Source organism: Homo sapiens, chromosome 7, assembly GCF_000001405.40.
Source record: "Homo sapiens chromosome 7, GRCh38.p14 Primary Assembly".
Lineage (NCBI taxonomy): Eukaryota > Metazoa > Chordata > Mammalia > Primates > Hominidae > Homo > Homo sapiens.
Window position 1 is genome coordinate 4050062 of NC_000007.14, and position 22252 is coordinate 4072313.

General features: G+C 42.9%; 1 protein-coding gene across 5 annotated transcripts in view; it reads left to right on the forward strand.

Annotated features, from left to right (window-relative positions):
- The window catches only part of SDK1 (sidekick cell adhesion molecule 1), a 967749-nt gene that overhangs the window by 748810 nt on the left and 196687 nt on the right, over window positions 1-22252 (forward strand). For all 5 annotated transcript variants that reach the window (NM_152744.4, XM_047420038.1, XM_047420037.1 and 2 more), the window contains 2 exons: window positions 1577-1769; window positions 17777-17875. In NM_152744.4, coding sequence (NP_689957.3) covers window positions 1577-1769; window positions 17777-17875 — 292 coding nt within the window. The remainder of the gene's footprint in view (window positions 1-1576; window positions 1770-17776; window positions 17876-22252) is intronic.

Sequence of the window (22252 nt, forward strand, 5' to 3'; positions counted from 1 at the left end):
TTCAGATCAGCTTCTCCTGATTGGATTTGGGAGCGCACCTTGATTTTAGCTACAATAGGTCCACTAATCGTCTTTAATAGACGATGGACAGGGGAAGCTCTATACAGTGAAGGGATTCCATCTAGTTTCCTCAATACCTGGTAATTTCACATTCAGAGGGTGAGTTTCCTCAGACACAAGGTTCAGTTTTCTTTTCCCACAATTTGCATTCAACTTACTAAAACACTGATTTGTCTGCCAGAAAGGCAGAAGTAGCTGGAAATTTTCCCTGCCTTTCGTTTACCCTCAGAAGTATCCAAAGCCAGAAGCTTTTGTGAAAGAAAATCATATTGATCAAGCAAGATGCTTTTGCCTTCTTCCCTCTCCTGTCGAGTCTCGTTGGCAAGGCTGCAGTGTTCGTTTGATGACTTCGCTGTCAGTTTGATCTGTGTAAATACGCTTTGCGTCCTGCAGCATGTCAACTTTCAGACCCAATTAGTCCTAGAAATGTTTGGTGCCAAAGGAATTAAAAGTCACACACCTACGTAATGCTGCCAAAACATGAACACGCTTTCCTTAGGTTGTGGATACAGTCTGTATTTCTTTAAAATTGTAAGCAGTCTCCTAAAATCCTTTTTGCGAAACTAGTGTGATATAAATTATAAATAATTAAGATTATTGCTGTTGAATCATGGATGTCTTTTTTGAGACAGAGTAGGTGCTTTCTAGAAAAATATTTGTATTTGTTTCATTGTGCTGTTTCAGCTGAATTAACAGATGGTTTCATCTTTATTCTTTACTGTTAAAATATATATTATATACTATATGGTATATATTATATATACCATATAGTATATATTATATATAGTATATATAATGTATTATATATACATACATACTATACGTATATATTATATATACTATATATGTTATATATATGCTATATATGTTATATATGTTATATATAGTATACTATATGTGTATATGTTATGTATGTTATATATAGTATACTATACATATATATGTTATGTATGTTATATATAGTATACTATATGTGTATATAATATATATGTATAATATATACATATTATATATAATATATGTATAATATATACATATAGTATATATGTATATATTATACATTATATATGTGTATATATTATATATGTATACATAACATATACTATATATGTTATATAGTATATAGGTTGTATATAATATATATATAATATATACTTTTTATGTATATATGTTATATATGGATATATGTAATATATATTATATATATGTTTTTTAACCTTCTTAAGTGAAGAGAGGGTGAAGATTTGAGGGAGTGTCCATTATTCTAATATGAGTTAAGTAGTTATTTACATATACAAGTATAAAATACATGTAAATATACATGCTTGTATACAAAAACCTATAAAATATATTTTTATCTCAACTTTTTTCAAGCGTGATTATAAAATGCAGGATTTATGGACTTTCTTAATTATGACTTTACATTTTAAAAGACAAAATAAAATTCTGCTGCAGACATGAGTGTGGAGAAATGCCATTGAAAACAGGCTGTCTTTTTCACCCTGTTCCATCTCAGCTTCTGGCATGGCCGGCAGATGCCCCCGAGGCTGTCACTGTGGTCACTATTGCCCCAGATTTCCACGGAGTCCACCATGGACACATAACGAACCTGAAGAAGTTTACCGCCTACTTCACTTCCGTTCTGTGCTTCACCACCCCTGGGGACGGGCCTCCCAGCACACCTCAGCTGGTCTGGACTCAGGAAGACAGTGAGTATTCCTTTCTGCGTGTCTCTTAAGTCACTTGTCAAAGAGGTGTATACCGCTGCAACTTCCAGAATCAGGCAAGGGCAGAGGTGGATCACGAGGAGGCCCCGGATTTTTGGAGTGCTTGCAGTCAGCTCACCTAGGGAGATCAGGCATCAGTACTGATAATGCCTCGCAGAGGATGGCACGTGGACAGTGGAGGGTGGCCTTGGCTCAAGGAAGGAGCTCTGGGGACAGGGGGTGGAGAATCAGGTTCCAGCTGTGTGGCCACAGCTTTGGTCTTGCTGAACTTGCTCTTCATGTAGAGTTCAATTTCTGATTCCCTCACCTGCTTCCATGATCCCCCCCCCCCCGACGTCCCCCAGCCCATTCTTTCCTGACCCTCGCTCCCAGGGTCCTTTTCCCCACGCCCTTCTAAGCTCCCTGAGTTTGCATTACCTCCATCTGGTCAGTTCGAAGCCACTCCTTCTCTGCTCACAGGCCAGCTGACGCATCTGGAAAACGTTAGCTAATGAAGTTACCCCGAGAAAATAGTCACAGATGCACACAAAGATTTATATATATACAAGGCGGCTCGTTACAGTTATTTGTAGCTGGAAAAAATGTGAAAAGCATTCAGATGTTCCAGATGGGGAGAATTGGGAAAAAGTATAGAATGACAACATAAGAAATATTTTGTAGTTGTTGAAAAAACGAAACTCTGAAGATCAAAAATTGTGCGCAAAAATGGTCATGATATAACATTGTGAAATAATAGTATACAAAACTATGAGATCCAAATTTTATAAAAATATACTGTATGAAATATGAACAGAGAAAAGACCTTGGAAGAAATACGTCACACAAATTTAAGACTTGTTATCCCTATGTGGTATCATTATGAGTAGTTTTGGCATATTTCGTTGTATTTTTTTGCATTTTCTAGTTTCTACCACGAGTCTGTACTCCCTCTGTAATGAAAGTTAAAACTAGAATAATTAGGGCCATGCAGTGGTTCATGCCTGTAATCCCAGCACTTTGGGAGGCTGAGGCAGTTGGATCACGAGGTCAGGAGTTCACGACCAGCCTGGCCAAGATGGTGAAACCCCGTCATTACGAAAAATACAAAAATTAGCTGGGTGTGGTGGCAGGCGCCTGTAATCCCAGCTACTCGGGAGGCTGAGGCAGGAGAATCACTTGAACCCAGGAGGCAGAGGTTGCAGTGAGCCGTGATCATGCCACTGCACTCCAGCCTGGGTGACATAGTGAGACTCTGTCTCAAAAAAAAAAAAAAAAAAAAAATTAGGAAAATTATTTTTTAAGTCACCCTGGGCTGCTGCTTGTCTCTCCCCCAGTGCTGGATGGGCTCAGCCTTCTGAACTTGTCTCTACTAGAGTTTGGCCGTCGCCAGCTCCACCCCGTGCTGCTCCCGTTTTTGGACTCCCAGCCTCACCGCACTCCCAGCAGGTGACATTTGCAGAGGCCAAGGCCACCAAGACGGATTCCTTGCCTTCCCACTTCACCCTTTATTTCCGTGTCCTTACGCTTGCCTCTCTCCCCTTTCCTCTCAAACGATGCAGTATGGCCTTTCTAAGGGTCCTCCGTCATCCTGTTCCCTTCTTCCCCTCTCTGTCTTCATGGCGCTATTACTTCTTCCAATCTTTTTACTATTGGATCCTTTCCCTCCTCCCACAAATATGTTCAGGTCTCCCTCACTCAAAATCGGCAGCTCCCTGACTGTGCTGCCCCTGGAGCTGCCGGGATGGCTCCCCACTCCCTTTTAGTCTAACCATTGCTTTGACCTTGAACGCCTTATGTTCTCCTTGACCCTTGGCAGCCTAGCTTTCTCCTTGCCACTCTCCTGGAACAATCTCGCCATTGACTCAAGGTCTATGTCAAATGAGTGACAGGGGAGGAATAGAACATGGATTTCTTGACCCTCTGAGACCAACAATCAATCCCTCCTCACAAAAAAGATGAAATGAAAAGTAGCCCTGCTGCTGCTGTGAATTGATCCCAGAAGTTCTTCCCATACTCTGCCTTTGCTCTGCTTTCTGCTTTTGTTTAACTGATTTTGGCTTTTTTTGTTTTTTGGGTTTTTTGTTGTTGTTGGTGGTGGTGGTGGTTTTTTTTGTTGTTGTTGTTGTTTTGAGACAGAATCTTGCTCTGTTGCCCAGGCTGGAGTGCAGTGGTGCAATCTTGGCTCACTGCAACCTCTGCCTCCAGGGTTCAAGCAATTCTCCTGCCTTGGCCTCTCAAGTAGCTGGTATTACAGGCACCGGCCACCACGTCTGGCCAATTTTTTTGTATTTTTAATAGAGATGGGGTTTCACCATGTTGGCCAGGCTGCTCTCAAACTCCTGACCTCAGGTGATCCGCACACCTCAGCCTCCCAAAGTGCTGGGATTACAGGCATAAGCCACCACACTCACCAAGGTTAACTGAAATTTTTATTGAGAGCATTACAGATTCATATGCAATTATATGAAATAATATTGAGACCGTGTACATTTAGCCCAGTTTCTGCCAAGCTGACATTTGCGAAACTATAGTATTGCATCACGTCCAGGATATTGACACTGATGATACAATTCACAGATCCGATTTGGGTTTCTCCAGTTTTGTTTTTTTCTCTTTTGTGCATATGTGTGTGTTTAGTCCTGTACAGTTTGACACATGTGTAGGTTTGTGTATCTACCACGATAATCAAGATCTTGAATGTTTCTAAGGCCACAAAAATCATCTGGGTTCCTTTATAGCCACACCCACCTTCCTCCAGCTCTTCCTTTCTAACCTGTATGCCTTTCATTTCCTTTTCTTGCATGATTTGCAGTGTCTAGGATTTCTAGTACTATGCTGAATAAGAGTGATGAGACCAGACATCCTTGCCTGCTTCTCACCTGAGAGGCAAAACATTCAGTCGTTCACTGTTAAGGATTTTTTTTTTTAATCAAGTTGAAGTTATTCCTCACTATTGCTAATTGGTTCTGAGTTTTTGACATGAATAAATCTTACTTTTTTTCACGTGCTCTTACTGCATCATTTGACATGATCATCTGGTTTTTCTTCTTAGCTTGTTGGTCTGTTAGATTACATTGACTGATTTGCAAATGTCAAACCAGCTTTGTGTACTTAAATTCAACTTGGTCACAGTGTATAATTCTTTTCATATGCTGTTGGATTGACTTTGCTAGCACTTGGCGAAGGACTTTTGCATGTAAGTTCATGAGAGATATTAATCTGTAGTTGTCTTTTTTTGTGTGTTATCTTTGTCTGGTGTTGGTATCAGAGTAATATGGTCCCATGAAATATGTTTAGAAGTATTCCCACTTCTATGTTCTGGAAGAGATTGCGTAAAATTGGTGTCATTTTCTCTTTAAATGTTTGGTAGAATTTTCCAGTGAAACTCTCAGGGACTGAAGAATTCTTTCTAGGAATATTTTTAATATAAATGCAATTTATAAATGGTTTTAGGACTATCCAGGTTGTCTGTTTCATCTTGGCTGAGTTTTGGGAGTTGTTGGTTTTCAAGGAGTTGATCCTCTAAGAGTTCAGATTTGTGAGTATGAAAATGTTAGCAGCACCACCTTCTTATTGGTTGCAGGATCTGTAGTGATGTCCTGTTTTTTATTCCTGATATTGATGATTGGTTTCTTCTGGCTTTTTAATGTTGTCATTCTTCCTGGAGGTTCTTCAATTTTATTGCTTGATTTTTTTGGTTTGTTTTTGTTGTTGTTGTTGTTGTTGTTTTTGTTTTTTGTTTTTTTAGAACCAGCCTCTTGTTCCAGGTCTCCTCTTCTTCATGGTCTCCTTCATTTTCAACTTTATTGATTTCTGCTCTTTATAATTTCCTTCCTCTGCTTGCTTTGAGTGTATTTTGCTCTCCCTTTTCTGCTTTCTTGAGGTAGCCATGTTGGTTATTGGTTGAAGACCTTTCCTTGTTTCCAGTGTGAGCGTTTAGTGCTGTACATTTCTGCTTCCATGATGCTTTAGCTGCATCCCAGATGTTTTGACACTCTATGCTTTCATTTTCATCCAGTTCTCTGTATTTTTATTTCCTTTGAGATACTCTCTGTGACCCATGAATTAATTGGAAGTGTGCTGTTCATTTTCCATGTGTTTGGAGATTCTATTGTCTTTCTGCTATTGATAATCTGATTTGATTCCATTATGATCAGAGAACACACTTCATATAATTTTAGTTATTTTATATTTGTTGAAGTTTGTTTAATGGCCTAGGATATGGTCAATCTTGGTGAATGTTCAATGAATGATTTTTTAAAAATGTCTATTTCTCCTTTTCAATTGTAAATTTTATGTCTCAGAGAAAACTGGAAATAATCTCAATTTTTTTTTTTTTTTTAGAATTTTCTAACTGAATCATTTTTTGGTAGGCAGGGAGCCTGTTTATCCTATTTAGGATAATAACACATCTTTGTAAATGTCAAATATCACATTAAAAGACTGAAGGTAGGGTTGAAGTCACCTCTGGGGGGTGTAGCTTTTAAAAGGAAAGTTTGGAGCCTGAATGAGAGGGGCTTCAGGGGCCAGCTGACCACAGTCACCTGGTACTGGCCTCCTTCATAAAGAAGAACAAGAACAGCAAGTAGGTAACCACACTTCAAATAGATCCAAGAGAGAAGCTGGAATTCAATAGAGAAGTGACAGGAAGCACCTATGGCAAGGAGGAAAGTGAAGTGCAGCAGCTCCTCCGGGACTGAGATCGGCTGGGAACCCAGACAGGTTCCCCACTGTGGGAAAAGGGAAAGGGAGAGACCCCCGTGGTCCACATTCCCACCACAGACTCCTGCAATCCGAGCCACAGGAAAGCCCCTCAAAACTCACAGGCCCAAGACTCACGTAGGGAGACTCTCACAGGGAGACCGTGTGATGTCCTGCTCCAGAGAGGGAGCCCACGCTGCACCCCACACGCCCGAGCCCAGAGCAGCTACTATGCAGTGCTGCTCAAAGAGCCCAGCCCCACCAGAACATTCCGCCGTGGGTCCCACCAGACCATTCCGCCCCGGGTCCCGACAGACCATTCTGCTCCGGGTCCCGACAGACCATTCCGCCCCGGCTCCCGACAGCCTCTGCATCTCCATATTCTGCAGCCCCACTGACATCCCCTGCCCACAACCACCACCACTGCTGGCTGCTGCCACCAGAGGCAAAGCACAAACCATTGGCAGTGACCCCCAGTGGTGGGGCTGCTGGGCATTTTCACTCATCTTGAGGACAGACTTCGCTTCCAGGCACCCTGAGGTCAGACTCTCCCACCCACAGTTGCCACCTGGGTCTGAAGCACACCTCCCCAGCAGCAGGGCCGCAGTGCAGCCATTGCCAGCCCTACCAAGTGTTCTGCCAGGAACCTGGGGGTCACCCCACCCCAGCTGACCACAGCTAGCAACTGCACACACCACCAGGGGTCCTGAGGACAGGCCTGCTTGGCTTGCTCAGCCTCCCCCAGTATGAGCAACACTATCCAGGGCCCTGGGCTCACCCTGCCCTGTCCACCACTATGAGCACCTGAGTACTTCTCCTGGGGACCTGAAGTCGGGCCCACCCAACCTGCTGCACCATCACAGCTGGCACCCATTCCTACACACCACCCCTGGGCCTGGGGACTGGCCTGCTCAGCCTGTCACAGCCACCAGCAATACCAGTGCAGACTGCTAAGGAGCCAGGGGATTGTCCCACCACTGCTACTGTCACTGCCTATAGCATGCCTGCTGTCCAGGGCCTTGAGAACCCACCCACCTGCTTGGCCCCCTGCAGCCATTGCCAGCACCTGAGCAACCCACCTAGAATGCCAAGAATGAGCCTGTCTGGATCACTCTGGGATGTAAGGACAGGCACACTCAGCCCACTGCTGCCACCACTGGGGCCCAAGGATTGGCCCACCTGGTGTCCCTGTCCCCAGCAAAACTTTACCACAGCCTCTACTAACAACCACACCCTAAGCCGCTGAGGAAATCACAGACACCACTGATGCTGTTTACAGCCAAATAAATTATATGGAGACTACACTACTGCTTCATCCAGAATCAAAGCCAAAGTACCCTATCCAATCAACACCATAGATACATCTTCAGGAAAAAGCCCTCCTTTATGAAAGCAAATCCAAAAAATTAGAAGAAGCAACTGTTACACCAGATGTGCAGATATCAACATAAGGACACAAGAAATATGAAAATGCAAGGAAGTATAACACTTCCAAAGGAACATGGTAATTCTCTAGCAACAGATTCCAATGAAAAAGAAATTATGAAATCCCAGAAAAAAAATAAAAAATAATGATATTAAGGAAAGTCAGATAAAAGAGACACAGATAAATAATACAAAATAATCCAAAAAACATTTCAATACATGAATGAGAAATTTACCAAAGAGATAAATATTATAAAAAAGAACCAAACAGATATCCAGGAACTAATTAATTCATTGACTGAAATTTAAAAATACAATAGTAAGCTTCGGCAGTAGACTAGATGAGACAGCAGAAGGAATTTCAGAATTTAAAGTTGAATAAAGACTATGTGATATATGAGTCACCATAAAGGAATGAGTATTTGAATTTTTGATGTCCCAGAAGGTGAAAAGAAAACCAAAGGGATACAAACCTGATTTAACAAAATAATGGCTGAAACCCAAGTCTAGCAAGAGATTTAGACATCCAGATATGGGAGGCTCAGAGATCCACAAATAAATAGATACTATTCAGAAAGGTCTTCTCCATGGCACATTGTAGTCAAATTATCAAAAGTTGAAGACAGAATTCCAAAAACACCAAAAGAAAAGCATCTACTCACTTATAAGAGAACCCCCATCAGACTAACAGTGGATTTATCAGCAGAAACCTTACATGCCAAGAGAAAAATGGGATGATATATTCAAAGTACTGGGGAAAAAAATAACTTGTTAGCCAAGAGTACTATATGCATAAAAGTTACCCTTCACAAATGAAAGAGAAATAAAGTATTTCCTAGATAAGTAAAAGCTGAGGGAATTCATCTCCACTGGACTGGCCCTACAAGAAATGCTTAATGAATTCCCACACCTGAAGTGAAAGAACAATATCTACCATCATGAAAATGTACAAACGTATAAAACCCATTGGTAGAGCAAACACACAAATAAGGAAGAGAAAGGACCCAAATGTTACCACTACAGAAAACCACCAAACCTCAAAAATAAACAATGAGAGAGAAAGAAGGGAACAAAGGATATATAAACCAACCAGAAATCAATTAATAATTACTAGAATAAGCCCTGACATATCAATAGTAACCTTGAATTTAAATAGATTAAAGTATCCAAAAGGATAGACTGGCTGAATGGATAAAAACAAAAACAAAAACAAAAACAAACCATGACCCAACTATAGGCTGTGTACAAGAAACTCAGCTCACTTGTAAAGACACATGTAGACTGAAAGTAAAGAGATGGAAAAAGAGATTTTGTGCAAACAGAAAGCAAAAGTGAACAGGAGTAGGTACGCTTAGATAAAATACTTTAAGTAAAAAACAGTAAAAAGAGACAAAGAAGGTTATTGTGTAATGATAAAGTTATGAATTCAACAAGAGGATATAACAATTCTAAACATATATAGACCAAACACTGGAGCACTCAGATATATAAAGCAAATATTATTAGATCTACAGGGAGAGACAGCAATACAATAATACTTGGGGACTTTAACATCCCCCTCTCAGCATTAGACAGGTCATCTTGACAGAAAAATAACAAAGAAACATTGGATTTAAACTGCGCTTTAGACTAAATGGACCTAACAGACATTTACAGAACATTTCATCTAATAGCTACAGAATGCACATTCTTTTCATCAGTACATGTAACATTCTCCAAGACAGACCCTATGTTAGGACACAAAGCAAATCTCAACAACTTTTAAAAGACTAAAATTCGATCGATATCTTCTTAGACCACAATGGAATAAAACTGGAAATCAGTAATGAGGAACTTTGGAATCTGTACAAATACATGGAAATTAAATAGCATGCTCCTGAATGACCTTTGGGTCAAGGAAGAAATTAAGGAGGAAATTTAAAAATTTCTTTTTTTTTTTTTTTTGAGACGGAGTCTTGCTCTGTCGCCCAGGCTGGAGTGCAGTGGCGCAGTCTCGGCTCACTGCAAGCTCCGCCTCCCAGGTTCACGCCATTGTCCTGCTTCAGCCTCCTCAGTAGCTGGGATTACAGGCGCCCACCACCACACCTAGCTAACTTTTTTGTATTTTTTAGTAGAGACGGGGTTTCACCATGTTAGCCAGGATGGTCTCGATCTCCTGACCTCGTGATCCGCCCGCCTCGGCCTTCCAAAGTGCTGGGATTACAGGCGTGAGCCACCACGCCCGGCCAGAAATTTCTTGAAACAAATGAAAATTGAAATACGACATACAGAAACCTACAGGATACAGCAAAAGCGATGCTAAGAGCCTACAATAAATGCCTACATCAGAAAAAAGTAGAAAGATTTCAAACAATCTAGTGATACACCTCAAGGACAAACCAAACCCAAAATTAGTAGAAGGAAAGATATAATAAAGATCAGAGCAGACCTAATGAAACAAAGACTTAAAAACAATACATGTGTTTTTTGGCTGCATAAATGTCTTCTTTTGAGAAGTGTCTGTTCATGTCCTTTGCCCACTTTTTGATGGGGTTGTTTGTTTTTTTCTTGTAAATTTGTTTGAGTTCATTGTAGATTCTGGATATTAGCCCTTTGTCAGATGAGTAGGTTGCAAAAATTTTCTCCCATTGTGTAGGTTGCCTGTTCACTCTGATGGTAGTTTCTTTTGCTGTGCAGAAGCTCTTTAGTTTAATTAGATCCCATTTGTCAATTTTGGCTTTTGTTGCCATTGCTTTTGGTGTTTTAGACATGAAGTCCTTGCCCATGCCTATGTCCGGAATGGTAATGCCTAGGTTTTCTTCTAGGGTTTTTATGGTTTTAGGTCTAACGTTTAGGTCTTTAATCCATCTTGAATTGATTTTTGTATAAGGTGTAAGGAGGGGATCCAGTTTCAGCTTTCTACATATGGCTAGCCAGTTTTCCCAGCACCATTTATTAAATAGGGAATCCTTTACCCATTGCTTGTTTTTCTCAGGTTTGTCAAAGATCAGATAGTTGTAGATATGTGGTGTTATTTCAGAGGGCTCTGTTCTGTTCCGTTGATCTATATCTCTGTTTTGGTACCAGTACCATGCTGTTTTGGATACTGGAGCCTTGTAGTATAGTTTGAAGTCAGGTAGCGTGATGCTTCCAGCTTTGTTCTTTTGGCTTAGGATTGACTTGGCAATGTGGGCTCTTTTTTGGTTCCATATGAACTTTAAAGTAGTTTTTTCCAATTCTGTGAAGAAAGTCATTGGTAGCTTGATGGGGATGGCATTGAATCTATAAATTACCTTGGGCAGTATGGCCATTTTCACGATATTGATTCTTCCTACCCATGAGCATGGAATGTTCTTCCATTTGTTTGTATCCTCTTTTATTTCATTGAGCAGTGGTTTGTAGTTCTCCTTGAAGAGGTCCTTCACGTCCCTTGAAAACACATGAAAAAATGCTCACCATCACTGGCCATCAGAGAAATGCAAATCAAAACCACAATGAGATACCATCTCACACCAGTTAGAATGGCAATCATTAAAAAGTCAGGAAACAACAGGTGCTGGAGAGGATGTGGAGAAATAGGAACACTTTTACATTGTTGGTGGGACTGTAAACTAGTTCAACCATTGTGGAAGTCAGTGTGGCGATTCCTCAGGGATCTAGGACTAGAAATACCATTTGACCCAGCCATCCCATTACTGGGTATATACCCAAATGACTATAAATCATGCTGCTATAAAGACATATGCACACGTATGTTTATTGCTGCACTATTCACAATAGCAAAGACTTTGAACCAATCCAAATGTCCAACAATGATAGACTGGATTAAGAAAATGTGGCACATATACACCATGGAATACTATGCAGCCATAAAAAATGATGAATTCATGTCCTTTGTAGGGACATGGATGAAATTGGAAATCATCATTCTCAGTAAACTATCGCAAGAACAAAAAACCAAACACGGCATATTCTCACTCATAGGTGGGAATTGAACAGTGAGAACACATGGACACAGGAAGGGGAACATCACACTCTGGGGACTGTTGTGGGGTGGGGGGAGGGGGGAGGGATAGCACTAGGAGATATACCTAATGCTAAATGACGAGTTAATGGGTGCAGCACACCAGCATGGCACATGTATACATATGTAACTAACCTGCACATTGTGCACATGTACCCTAAAACTTAAAGTATAATAATAATAATAATAAAAACAATACAAATGGTTAAACAAAACTCAGTTTTAGGGAAGATACACAAAATCAATAAACTGCTAGCTAGACTTAAGAAGAATAAAAGACAGATTACTTAAGGAAACAAAATCAGAAATGCAAAAGGAGACATTATAACTGATACCACAGAAATACAAAATATCATTTGAGACTCTTACTAACAACTATACACTAACAAATTGGAAAACCTAGGAGAAATGGATAAATTCCTGAACACATACAACCTACCAAGATTGAATCAGAAAGAAACATAAAATCTGAACAGACTAATAATGGGTAATGAGATTGAGTCAGTAATAACTCTCCCAACAAAGAAAAACCCAGGGCCAAGTGGTTTCACTGACAAATTCTACCATACTTTCAAGGAAGAACTAAAACCAATTCTCCTCAAACTATTCCAAAAAATTAAAGAAGAGGAAATTCTTTCTAACTCATTTTATGAGGTCAGTGTTACCCAGATACCAAAACCAGACAAGGACATAACAACAAAAAACTACAGTCCATTATCCCTGATGAACATAGACACAAAAATCCTCAACAAAAATATTAGCAAACTGAATCCAACAGCACGTCAGAAATATAATACACCATGCTCATGTGAGATTTATCCCAGGGATGCAAGGATGGTTCAACATATACATATCCATAAATGTGATACATCACTCCAACATAATAAAAGACAAAAACCATGTGATCATCTCAACAGATGCATAAAAAGCATTTAATAAAATTTAACATCCCTTTATAATAAAAACTCTCAACAAACTAGGCATAGTAGAAACATACCTCAGTATGATAAAGTCTGTATATGAAAAACCCACAGCTAACATCACACTGAATGGGGAAAAGCTGAAATCCTTTCCTCTGATAACTGGAACAAGACAAAGATGCCCACTTTCATCACACCTATTTGTAGTACTGGAAGTCCTAGCCACAGCAGTCAGGCAAAAGAAAGGAATAAAAGGCATCTAAATTGGAAAAGAGGAAGTCAGATTGTTCTCTTTGCAGATGACATGATCTTGTGTCTAAACAAACCTAGACTCCACCAAAAAACTCCTATATCTGATAAATAAATTTGGTGAGGTTGCAGGATACAATAGCAACACACAAAAATCAGTAGCATTTCTATAAACCAATAATGAACTAGCTGAGAAATAAATCAAGAAGTTGATTCCATTTACAATAGCTATAAAAGAAAAACATATCTAGGAATTAATTTAACCAAGGAGGTGAAAGATCTCTACAAAGAAAAATACAAAACATTGATGAAAGGAACTAAGAAACTGAAGAAGACACAAGTAAATAGAAAGACATCCCATGCTCATGGATCAGAAGAATTAGCATTATTAAAATGACCATACTCCCCAAATGAATCTAATGACTCAATGCAATCTCTATCAAAATACCAGTGTCATTTTCACAGAAATAGCAAAAAAAAAAAACAAAAAACCCCGTAAATTCTTGTGGAACCCAAAAAGAGCCCAAATAGCCAAAGCAATCCATAGCAAAAATAACGAAACTGGAGGAATCACACTACCTATCTTTGAAATATATGACAAGTCTATAATAACCAAAACCATGGCATGGTATTGGCGTTAACAACAGACACATAGACCAATGGAACAGAATAGAGCACCCAGAAACATATCCATATATTTACAACCAACTGATTTTCGATAAAGGTGGCAGGATACCTTCAATAATTTTGGTGCTAGGAAAATTGGATATCCATATGCAGAAGATCGAAATTAAAAAATAACTCAAGATGGATTAAAGACTTAAATGTAACACTTGAAATTATAAAACTACTAAAATAAAACACAGGGGAAACACTTCAGGACATTAGTGTAGGCAAAGATTTTATGGCTAAGATCTCAAAAGCACAGGCAACAAAACCAAAAATAGACAAATGGGACTATATCAAACTTAAAAACTTCTGTACAGCAAAGGAAATGGTAAACAGAGTGAAGAGACAGCCTGTTGAATGGGAGAAAATATTTGCAAACTATTCATCTGGTAAGGGATTAATATCTAAAATATACAAAGAACTCAGCTCAACAGTTTAAAAAATCTCATTTAAAAAGTGGGCAAGGGACATGAATAAACCCTTGTCAAAAGCAGACATACAGATGGTCAACGTGTCTATGAAAAAATGCCCAGTATCACTAATCATCAAGGAAATGCTAATCAAAACCTCAATGAGGTACCATTTTATCCCAGTCAGAATCACTAGAATTAAAAAGACATAAAAAATGCTGACAATCATGTGGAGAACAGGGAACTCTAATACACTGTTGGTGATGATGTAAATTAGTACAGCCACAATGGAAAACAGTATAAGTTTTCAAAAAACTAAAAATAGAACTACCCTATGAGCCAGCAATCCCACTATTGGGTATTTATCCATAGGAAAGGAGTCAGTGCATCAAAGGATACCCATACCCCATGCTTACTGCAGCACCATTCACAGTAGCCAAGATACGGAATCAACCCAAGCGTCCATCAGTAGACCAACGGATAAGAAAATGTGGTGTATATACATAGTGGAATACTATTCAGCCACAAGAAAGAATGAAATCCTGTCATTTGCAGCAACATGCAGGGAACTGGAGGGCATTACATCAATGCCCTCAGGAAAACAAATATCACAAGTTCTCACTCATAAGTAGTAGCTTAAAAGGCCAATCTCATGGAGATAAGAGAGTAGAATGAAAGATACTAGAGGCTGGGAGGGGTGTGTCGGTGGAGCAGGGTGGTGGGGAGAAAGAGAGGTTAGTTGATGGGCATAAACATTCAGTTAAACAGAAGGAGTAAGTTCCAATGCTCCGTGGCACAGTAGAGTGACTACAGCTAACAATGATGTATATTTCAAAATACCAAGGAAAGAGGATTTCGAATGTTCACAACACATAGAAATGATAAATACTCCAGGCCATAGGCACTCTGAACACCCTAACTTGGCCGTTACACAGTCAGTGCCTGTAACAAAACGTCACCTGTACCATAGAAATGTGTACAAGTATTATGTATCAATAAAAAAGAAAGTAAAGAAAGCTTCAGACTCTCGGGTGCTGGAGAAACGGCCTCCTTTTCTCTTTAGCTGATGGTGCTGTAGTTAGTTCCACACCCAGCAGGACTTCTTTCCCAAAGCTCCGAGGAAATGAGAAGTTGTTGGGAGAGGGTAGCAGTAAAGAGGAAACAGAATATAAATTTTAAGCTGAGACATCGCCAGCTGATTGCAGCAGAGCTAGAGGACAGCATCTTTGGGCAGGAATCCAGGAAGCAGAAACATAATATAAAAGGAGCAAAAAGGTTTCTTTCCTTCTCCATCGATTGAAAAAAGAACAAGTCAGTGCAAAAATCTGTCAGAATGTCTTTCTGGAGGCTCACAATTGTGGGAGGATGAGATGGTCTTGACAGCCATTCTATTTTACCATCTTCCACACTAGAAAAGTGAAATTTATCAGAGCATTTGAGCTTATCTGTGAAAAGTCTTTTCAAAGTTTCACCCAGATGAGTGGTTGTTGTTTTTTTTTTTTTTTTTTTTTTTTTTTTTTTTTTTGAGGCTGTTACCATTTTAAAAAAATTACGACTTGTGTTAGAAGGCTTTGTCCAAGTACCAACTCAGTGCTCGGTATGGAATTCACCCTAAAAATCTAATGTTTGTGCAAGTGAGGCTGGCAGTAACCAGAACAGGGACTTTGCAGGGGTGAGACTTCTCTGTAGGAATCCTGGATACTCTTTCAGGACAACTGACACCCTTGACTTCATGCTCTCCTATTTTAAGCTGAAAGACTTGCATTTTTTATTACTAAAAAGATTTGAATGTGGCGCCATCCAGCAGGTTCACTAGGGGAGTCGTGTGGTGTGGAGCTTTCAGTAGGAACCAGTGTTCCCTGCCTGGCGTGGAGGGTGTACTCAGCTGATACATACAGAAACTGACGGATGTCTCGTCTCTTCTCCATCATTCTTTTCCTCCCTTTTCCCCGGTTCTGCCTTTGAACTACCCTTTCCTCCTGCCCTTTTCTCCTCCCTGGCTTTGTCGCTATGTTTCTCCTGAACGGGTATCTGGAGGGGTAGGCATGGGGGCATTGTCAGAGAGGAGGTAGGGCTCTCAATGGCAGGCGGGGAAGCAGGGCCAACCCGGGCAGCTGTGTTTGTGTTTGCTGCTGAGATCAATGGATGGAGGGGCACTTTCAGGCACCGCACAGGTGCCTGTGGTGCCTGACTTAGGGAATGGGAGTGCACTGTCTCTCTTCCCCTCATCCTTCCCTCCATTTGCTCGTAAGACGCCAGCCTCCCCAAAAGCGTTTCCATTTCCACCTGCTCCTCATGCCTTGCACAGCAGCTATGGCTATAGAGAGACCATGGAAGGCACATGGCAGGGCTTGGGAGTAACGGCATCCGGGAGAACATCACCATCAGGACATCCACCTATCTCCTCCAGATAGCCAGGCATCCTCTCCTCCCTCCCCATCACCACACAGTGTGGGCTGGCCCTGATGGGACCGATGGGACCTGCTATGGGAACACTAAAAGGCTCTAAACCTGGGTGAGCTGGTGCAAGAGATGTGGGTCAGAACTGCCAGATGTCCCTGCTGTCCGGCCAGCAGCGACTTGCTGTGGGCCCTGCTGTCCCTGAGTCGCAGGCAGGTGGTCCATCTGCATGTGGGGCGGAGCTCTGCGCCTGTGGCCGCCCTTCCTCAAGCAGTTTGCTTTGCTGAGCTGCACCTGCATCTTGGATTTTTAACTCATGTTTTAGACTCTCAGGTCTTTTCTCTGGGGTGGCATCCTCTGATCCTAGGAATGAGTTTATGTTCTGATGAGAGGTTCATCATCATGACAGCGGCTGATGATCATGGAACATTTTCATGGTGCCCGGGACATCCTCGTGTTTTCATGTTTTATTACAATTTATTCTTATAATTGTCTCGCTGAGTTATTTTTATTTTCCCTGCTTCACACATTAACAGACTAAGGTGTCGAGAGTGTAATTTCCTAGGCAGCAAGTAGCTCAGCCAGGTCTGACACCCAGCTTGGACGCCAGCGTTCAAGCGTAACTCTGCGGCTCTGCCTGCCCGTGTTAGCAAGGGGGCCGCAGGGCACAGAAGCTCCTGGGAAAGGAATTTGTTTTTGCTGGGATTTTCTCAGGCCACTGCCTCGCCCCTCTGGAATCCTTCAGGATACCGATTGGGTTTGGAGCCTGGAGTTCTGGACCAGGTTGGCAGGTGAGCCTGCCCCTGGGCCCAGGGTCCTTTTCTGGTTTGCACAAGGTTACAGATGGCCCCCACACAAGCCAGACACGGGGTTGCATACACCATGGAGGAACACTCAGAGGAGGCAGTTGCTCTTGAGAATCCAGCCAGCCTGATTGTTCTAATCAGATTAGATCAAGGAGAAAGACAGAGAATGGTTTGTGTATAAATCTCCTGCCACCAGTAGCTCCAGTGCCCTGTGTGGCTGGGATGAAGCTGGAGAAAATAATGTGTGTGATGATAGCCAGGATGCCTTGAACACCCTCCTTCTTTCTGCATTCCACTGATGTCTCCTGCAGGGTTTTGCAGCCCCAGCTCACCACTTTCCTTCCATAGTTAGAACCTTCCCCACACATCTGATCAAAAGAAAATTTGGGCTATTGTGTTAACAGATGACTTTGCTTTTAATTGGTAGAACCAGGAGCTGTGGGACATCTGAGTTTCACAGAGATCTTGGACACATCTCTCAAGGTCAGCTGGCAGGAGCCCCTGGAGAAAAATGGCATCATTACTGGTAAGTAGGCCTGTCCTTCAAAAAAGGAAAAGATAAGTTTGTCCTCACAAAAAGAAGTGGCTGTCACTTCAAACCAAACTGCTGACAGCATGGACCCGTGCCCATGGCCTTCTCAAGAGGAACTGAAAAGTCTTCCTGGCCGTGTGGCAGAGTCCCAGCACTGGGACTGCCCCAGTGAGAGCCAGCCTGGTCTGGGGCCCTTTACTGTGTGGGCAGCAGCCATAGTTTGAGATCTGTTCTCCTCGCATGATCTTAGTAGGTGTCCAGAGTCTCTGACCAATGAGAGTCAGTCATGTTATGACACATTTGTTCACATGCGTGTGTCTTGCTTAATTCTCATAGCAGCATGGTAAGGTCAATATCGATATTATGACCATTTTACAGATGAGGAAACTGAGGCCCCGAGAGGGTGGGTGACCTTTCCTTCATTCAGCAGATGGCACTGAGCGCTCCTGTGGGCAGCCAGCCTTCTCAGACACAGCCAGGTGGTGTGACTATGAGGCTTACGTGCCTGTGTCTCAGCCCTCGTCCCACAGCTGTGAGCCGCAAGGGTGAGATCTGGGTCTTCTGACTCCAGATCCCATGTTCTGTCCCCTCCCCACCCTGCCCTCCAGTGAGAGCCCTGAGGAGACTGTGAGGCAGGTACTTCGGAGGAGGTTCTGAGCTGTACCAGGGATGGGGGCTGAGCCTTAGAGGCCCCTGGGCAGTGAGATCTCCTCTCCTGGTTTGAGGGGGTCTCTGTGGGAGACAGCTCACCTTTTTTAGGGTTTTTAATGATTTTATTTATTTATTTATTTATTTATGAGACAGGGTCTTGCTCTCTCGCCCAGGCTGGAGTGCGGTGGCGTGATCTCGGCTCACTGCAACCTCCACCTCCCGGGTTCAAGCAGTTTTCCTGCCTCAGCCTCCTGAAGAGCTGGGATTACAGGTGTGTGCCACCATACCTGGCTAATTTTTGTATTTTTAGTAGAAATGGGGTTTTGCCATGTTGGCCAGGCTGGTCTCGAACTCCTGACCTCAAGTGATCCACCTGCCTCAGCCTCCCAAAGTGCTGGGATTACAGGCGTGAGCCACTGCGCCTGGCCAAATTTTTATAATGTCTCTGAAAAACCTTTTAGGTTAAAGCTTAATTTAAATCTTAGTTCAAAAAAAAAATCTTGGTTTGACAAAAGCAACATAGGCTCTAGCCTCAGATGAGGCTGGGCAGGGCCCCCTGTTCTACTGTTTTAGTCACTCTAAGAGCCTCAGCAGACCTCTGGGATCCTCAGTTACAACTGAGGGGCTGTCAGGAGGACGAGTTGAGAGAAGTTGTATCAGTGGCTGCCCACTGCCTGGCCCAGAACAACTCAGCCTCCAACAGACATCTGTTTTTTTTCTAAACATTACCAAGGATTTCTAGCAAGCCACTTAATCTTCTTCTCTGTCAGCCATATATAGGACACTTCTGTGTCAGCCCTCTCTGGGGGCTTTGCCTGTGGCATCTCATGTCCCGGCAGGGGCTCCTGCGTGGGTATTCTGCAGCCGCACCCCAAGGTTGAGTGAGTTGCCCGTCCTGACGCGAGCGGTCAGTTTGGAGCTGAGCTGCGTCTCCGCTCCGTGGTGGCAGCGTTCTCAGCTGCCTGCGGGAGCCATGGAATTCAAGTGCCTGATTGTTCTGTGAAGCAAGCTTATGCTCTCTGGGTGTGTCCTAGAAGCCTGTGCTGGGACTGTGCTGCCCAGAGACCAAGAGCCTCAGGTGATCTCTCCCTCCTGCCAGGCTGCAGGGTTGGGGGCCGTTTCTTCTCCGCACTGGCGTCCTGGATGACAGCGGCAATGATGACCCTGGCCACTTCCACTGTGTTTGTCACCCTAGCCTTGTGGGATCTCGTTTTGCTTTCTCAGCAACCACACAAGGGGTGTCTTATAACCGAGGCCTGGCGATGACAAGGCTGAGGTTTAGGGTGGTGACGTCCCACCATCACAGCCAATGGGCATGTGCGCATTCTCTCCTCTGCAGCGTTGATGTGGTGGGGGTGAGGTTTGAACCATGCTCTGAACCCCACAGCATGGGATGCTCACTTTCCCCATCCACAGTCCTCTTAGCATCTCCATAATTTCTCAAAGCACCCTGAGGCCACAGAAATGCCTGACGGTTCTGTTTATTAAGTAGTTAGGTCCAAACAACGGAAGTGTTAATATGCGCTAACAATTATAATTGCCATGTAAAAAATACTACACAGTAGTTGAAAGAAATAATACTTGCATTTCTTTTTTCAGTGACCACAGTTAGTTCCTAATGGGATGTCTGCACCCGCCTGGGACTGCCCACCTTCTCAGACCTTGGGACCAGATGGTCCCTCGTCACCCTCATTTCCCGGTTCACTTTGGTTTCCAGGCAGTACTTGTTTCCTTATCACAACATCCACCAAAAACTCTGCTTTGCAAAGACAGGATATATCCAAGGACTCGTGGCATGCTCTGACCCGGAAATGGAGCCACCTCGGGCTGGAGGCTCACGTGTGTCCCACTGGCATTGAGTGTCCTGTGCATCCCTGCAGTGCTCCTGGGAGGTCACTGCAGCATCCCAGGTGCCCTGGGGCACAGTGGGAGACTGTGTTCCTACAGTGACCTCTTTCTACACAGAACTCCAGCTACATAGCAAACCCAGTGCCAACCCCACCACTACTCATCAGTAGAATCTCCTGTAATCATCTGTGCCAACCAGATCCCCTGATAGAGCGGTGTGCCCACAGCCCATACACAAGGTCACCTTGGAGCCAGTGCCACCTCTCAAATTTTTTTTTTTTTTTTTGAGATGGAGTCTCACTCTGCAGCCCAGGATGGAGTACAGTGGCACAATCTCAGCTCACTGCAACCTCTGCCTCCTGGGTTCAAGCAATTATCCTGCCTCAGCCTCCCGAGTAGTTGGAACTACAGGCGTGAGCCACCACGCCTGGCTAATTGTTTGTATTTTTAGTGAAGGCGGGGGTTTCACCATGTTAGCCAGGATGGTCTCGATCTCCTGACCTCGTGATCCACCCACTTTGGCCTCCCAAAGTGTGCTGTGCCTCTTATAAGCATATAGCTGGACTTTGTGGGGTTTTTAATTTTTTGTTTATTTATTTTTTGAAATGGAGTGTCTCTCTGTCACCCAGGTTGGAGTGCAGTGGTGTGATCTTGGCTCACTGGAACATCCGCCTCCCGGTTCAAATGATTCTCCTGCCTTAGCCTCCCAAGTAGCTGGGATTACAGGTGTGCGCCACCACACCCAGCTAATTTTTGTATTTTTAGTAGAGACAGGGTTTTACCATATTGGTAAGGCTGGTCTTGAACTCCTGACCTCAGGTGATCCACCCACTTCGGCCTCCCAAAGTGCTGGGATTACTGGCATGAGCCACCACGCCTGGCCTCACCTTAACTTTTAAAAAAAGTAAATTAATGAATCTGGCTCTGCCTTCCAGAAGCTTATCTTTTGAAGTGCCCACTTTAAATAGTGTGAAAACTCCAGGAATGGGGGGAAGTCACTACTAGAATTGGACACAATCTGTTGCACATTCTGAAGTCATCTGAGAATCGCAAGTGCTGAGTGTGTACAATTAAAAGGGCCTCCTGTTGCCTGGAGTCGAAGGAATTAAGCAAAGGCAGGGGGAACTGAGCAGGGGAGGGCACTATAGACTGCAGGAACCTAGTTTAATCTTGCTTTAAACCATTCAAAGAAAGGAAAAACAAACTAGTGGGAGGAGGGATTTTTAAAAGCTGAGCAGGAGGCTACCATTCGGAAGAAGAAGACTTTCCAGTTCAGACCCTTCAGGGACCAGTTCAGTGGCTGGAATTAGAGCTCTGCTTACCACTGATCCCAGAAACGGGGCTGCCCGGGTAGGAAAGAAAGAATTCTGGCCTACCGTCTGCCCAGTCGCCTTTCAGGTCTGCAGTCGGCCATGTTTTGGAAATCTGGCAGAGACTCCTTGGTAGATGTGTGTACACAGAAGGAATTCCCTTTTTACAGATACACACGTTAGCCCCTGCCCTGCCCTTTGTGAACACAGCACACACTTCTTTCCTGTTTAAAGCTGAAAGAAAAAAATCCATGGGCATAATAATTCACGTTGAGCCAACATTTCACGGCTAAGCAGTGGTTGCCAATACTTCCAATTTATGATCGTCTGTTTCACCAGCTAATGGGGCTTCATGAACTCATTTTCATGTTTTATTTAAACAAATACCTGTAGTTAAAAGCAGCAGTCTGTTGTTTATGGTGGAGCTTGACTTCGAAGCTCGAGCTTTCCTGGGCTGGGTGTAGCCAGAGGCCTGGGTTTGGAGGTGCCTGTGCTGTCAGGGGCAGCAAAGTTGCAGTGAGAGCACCAGGCAGACTCTCTGCAGGTTCCTCTCGGCAGCCAC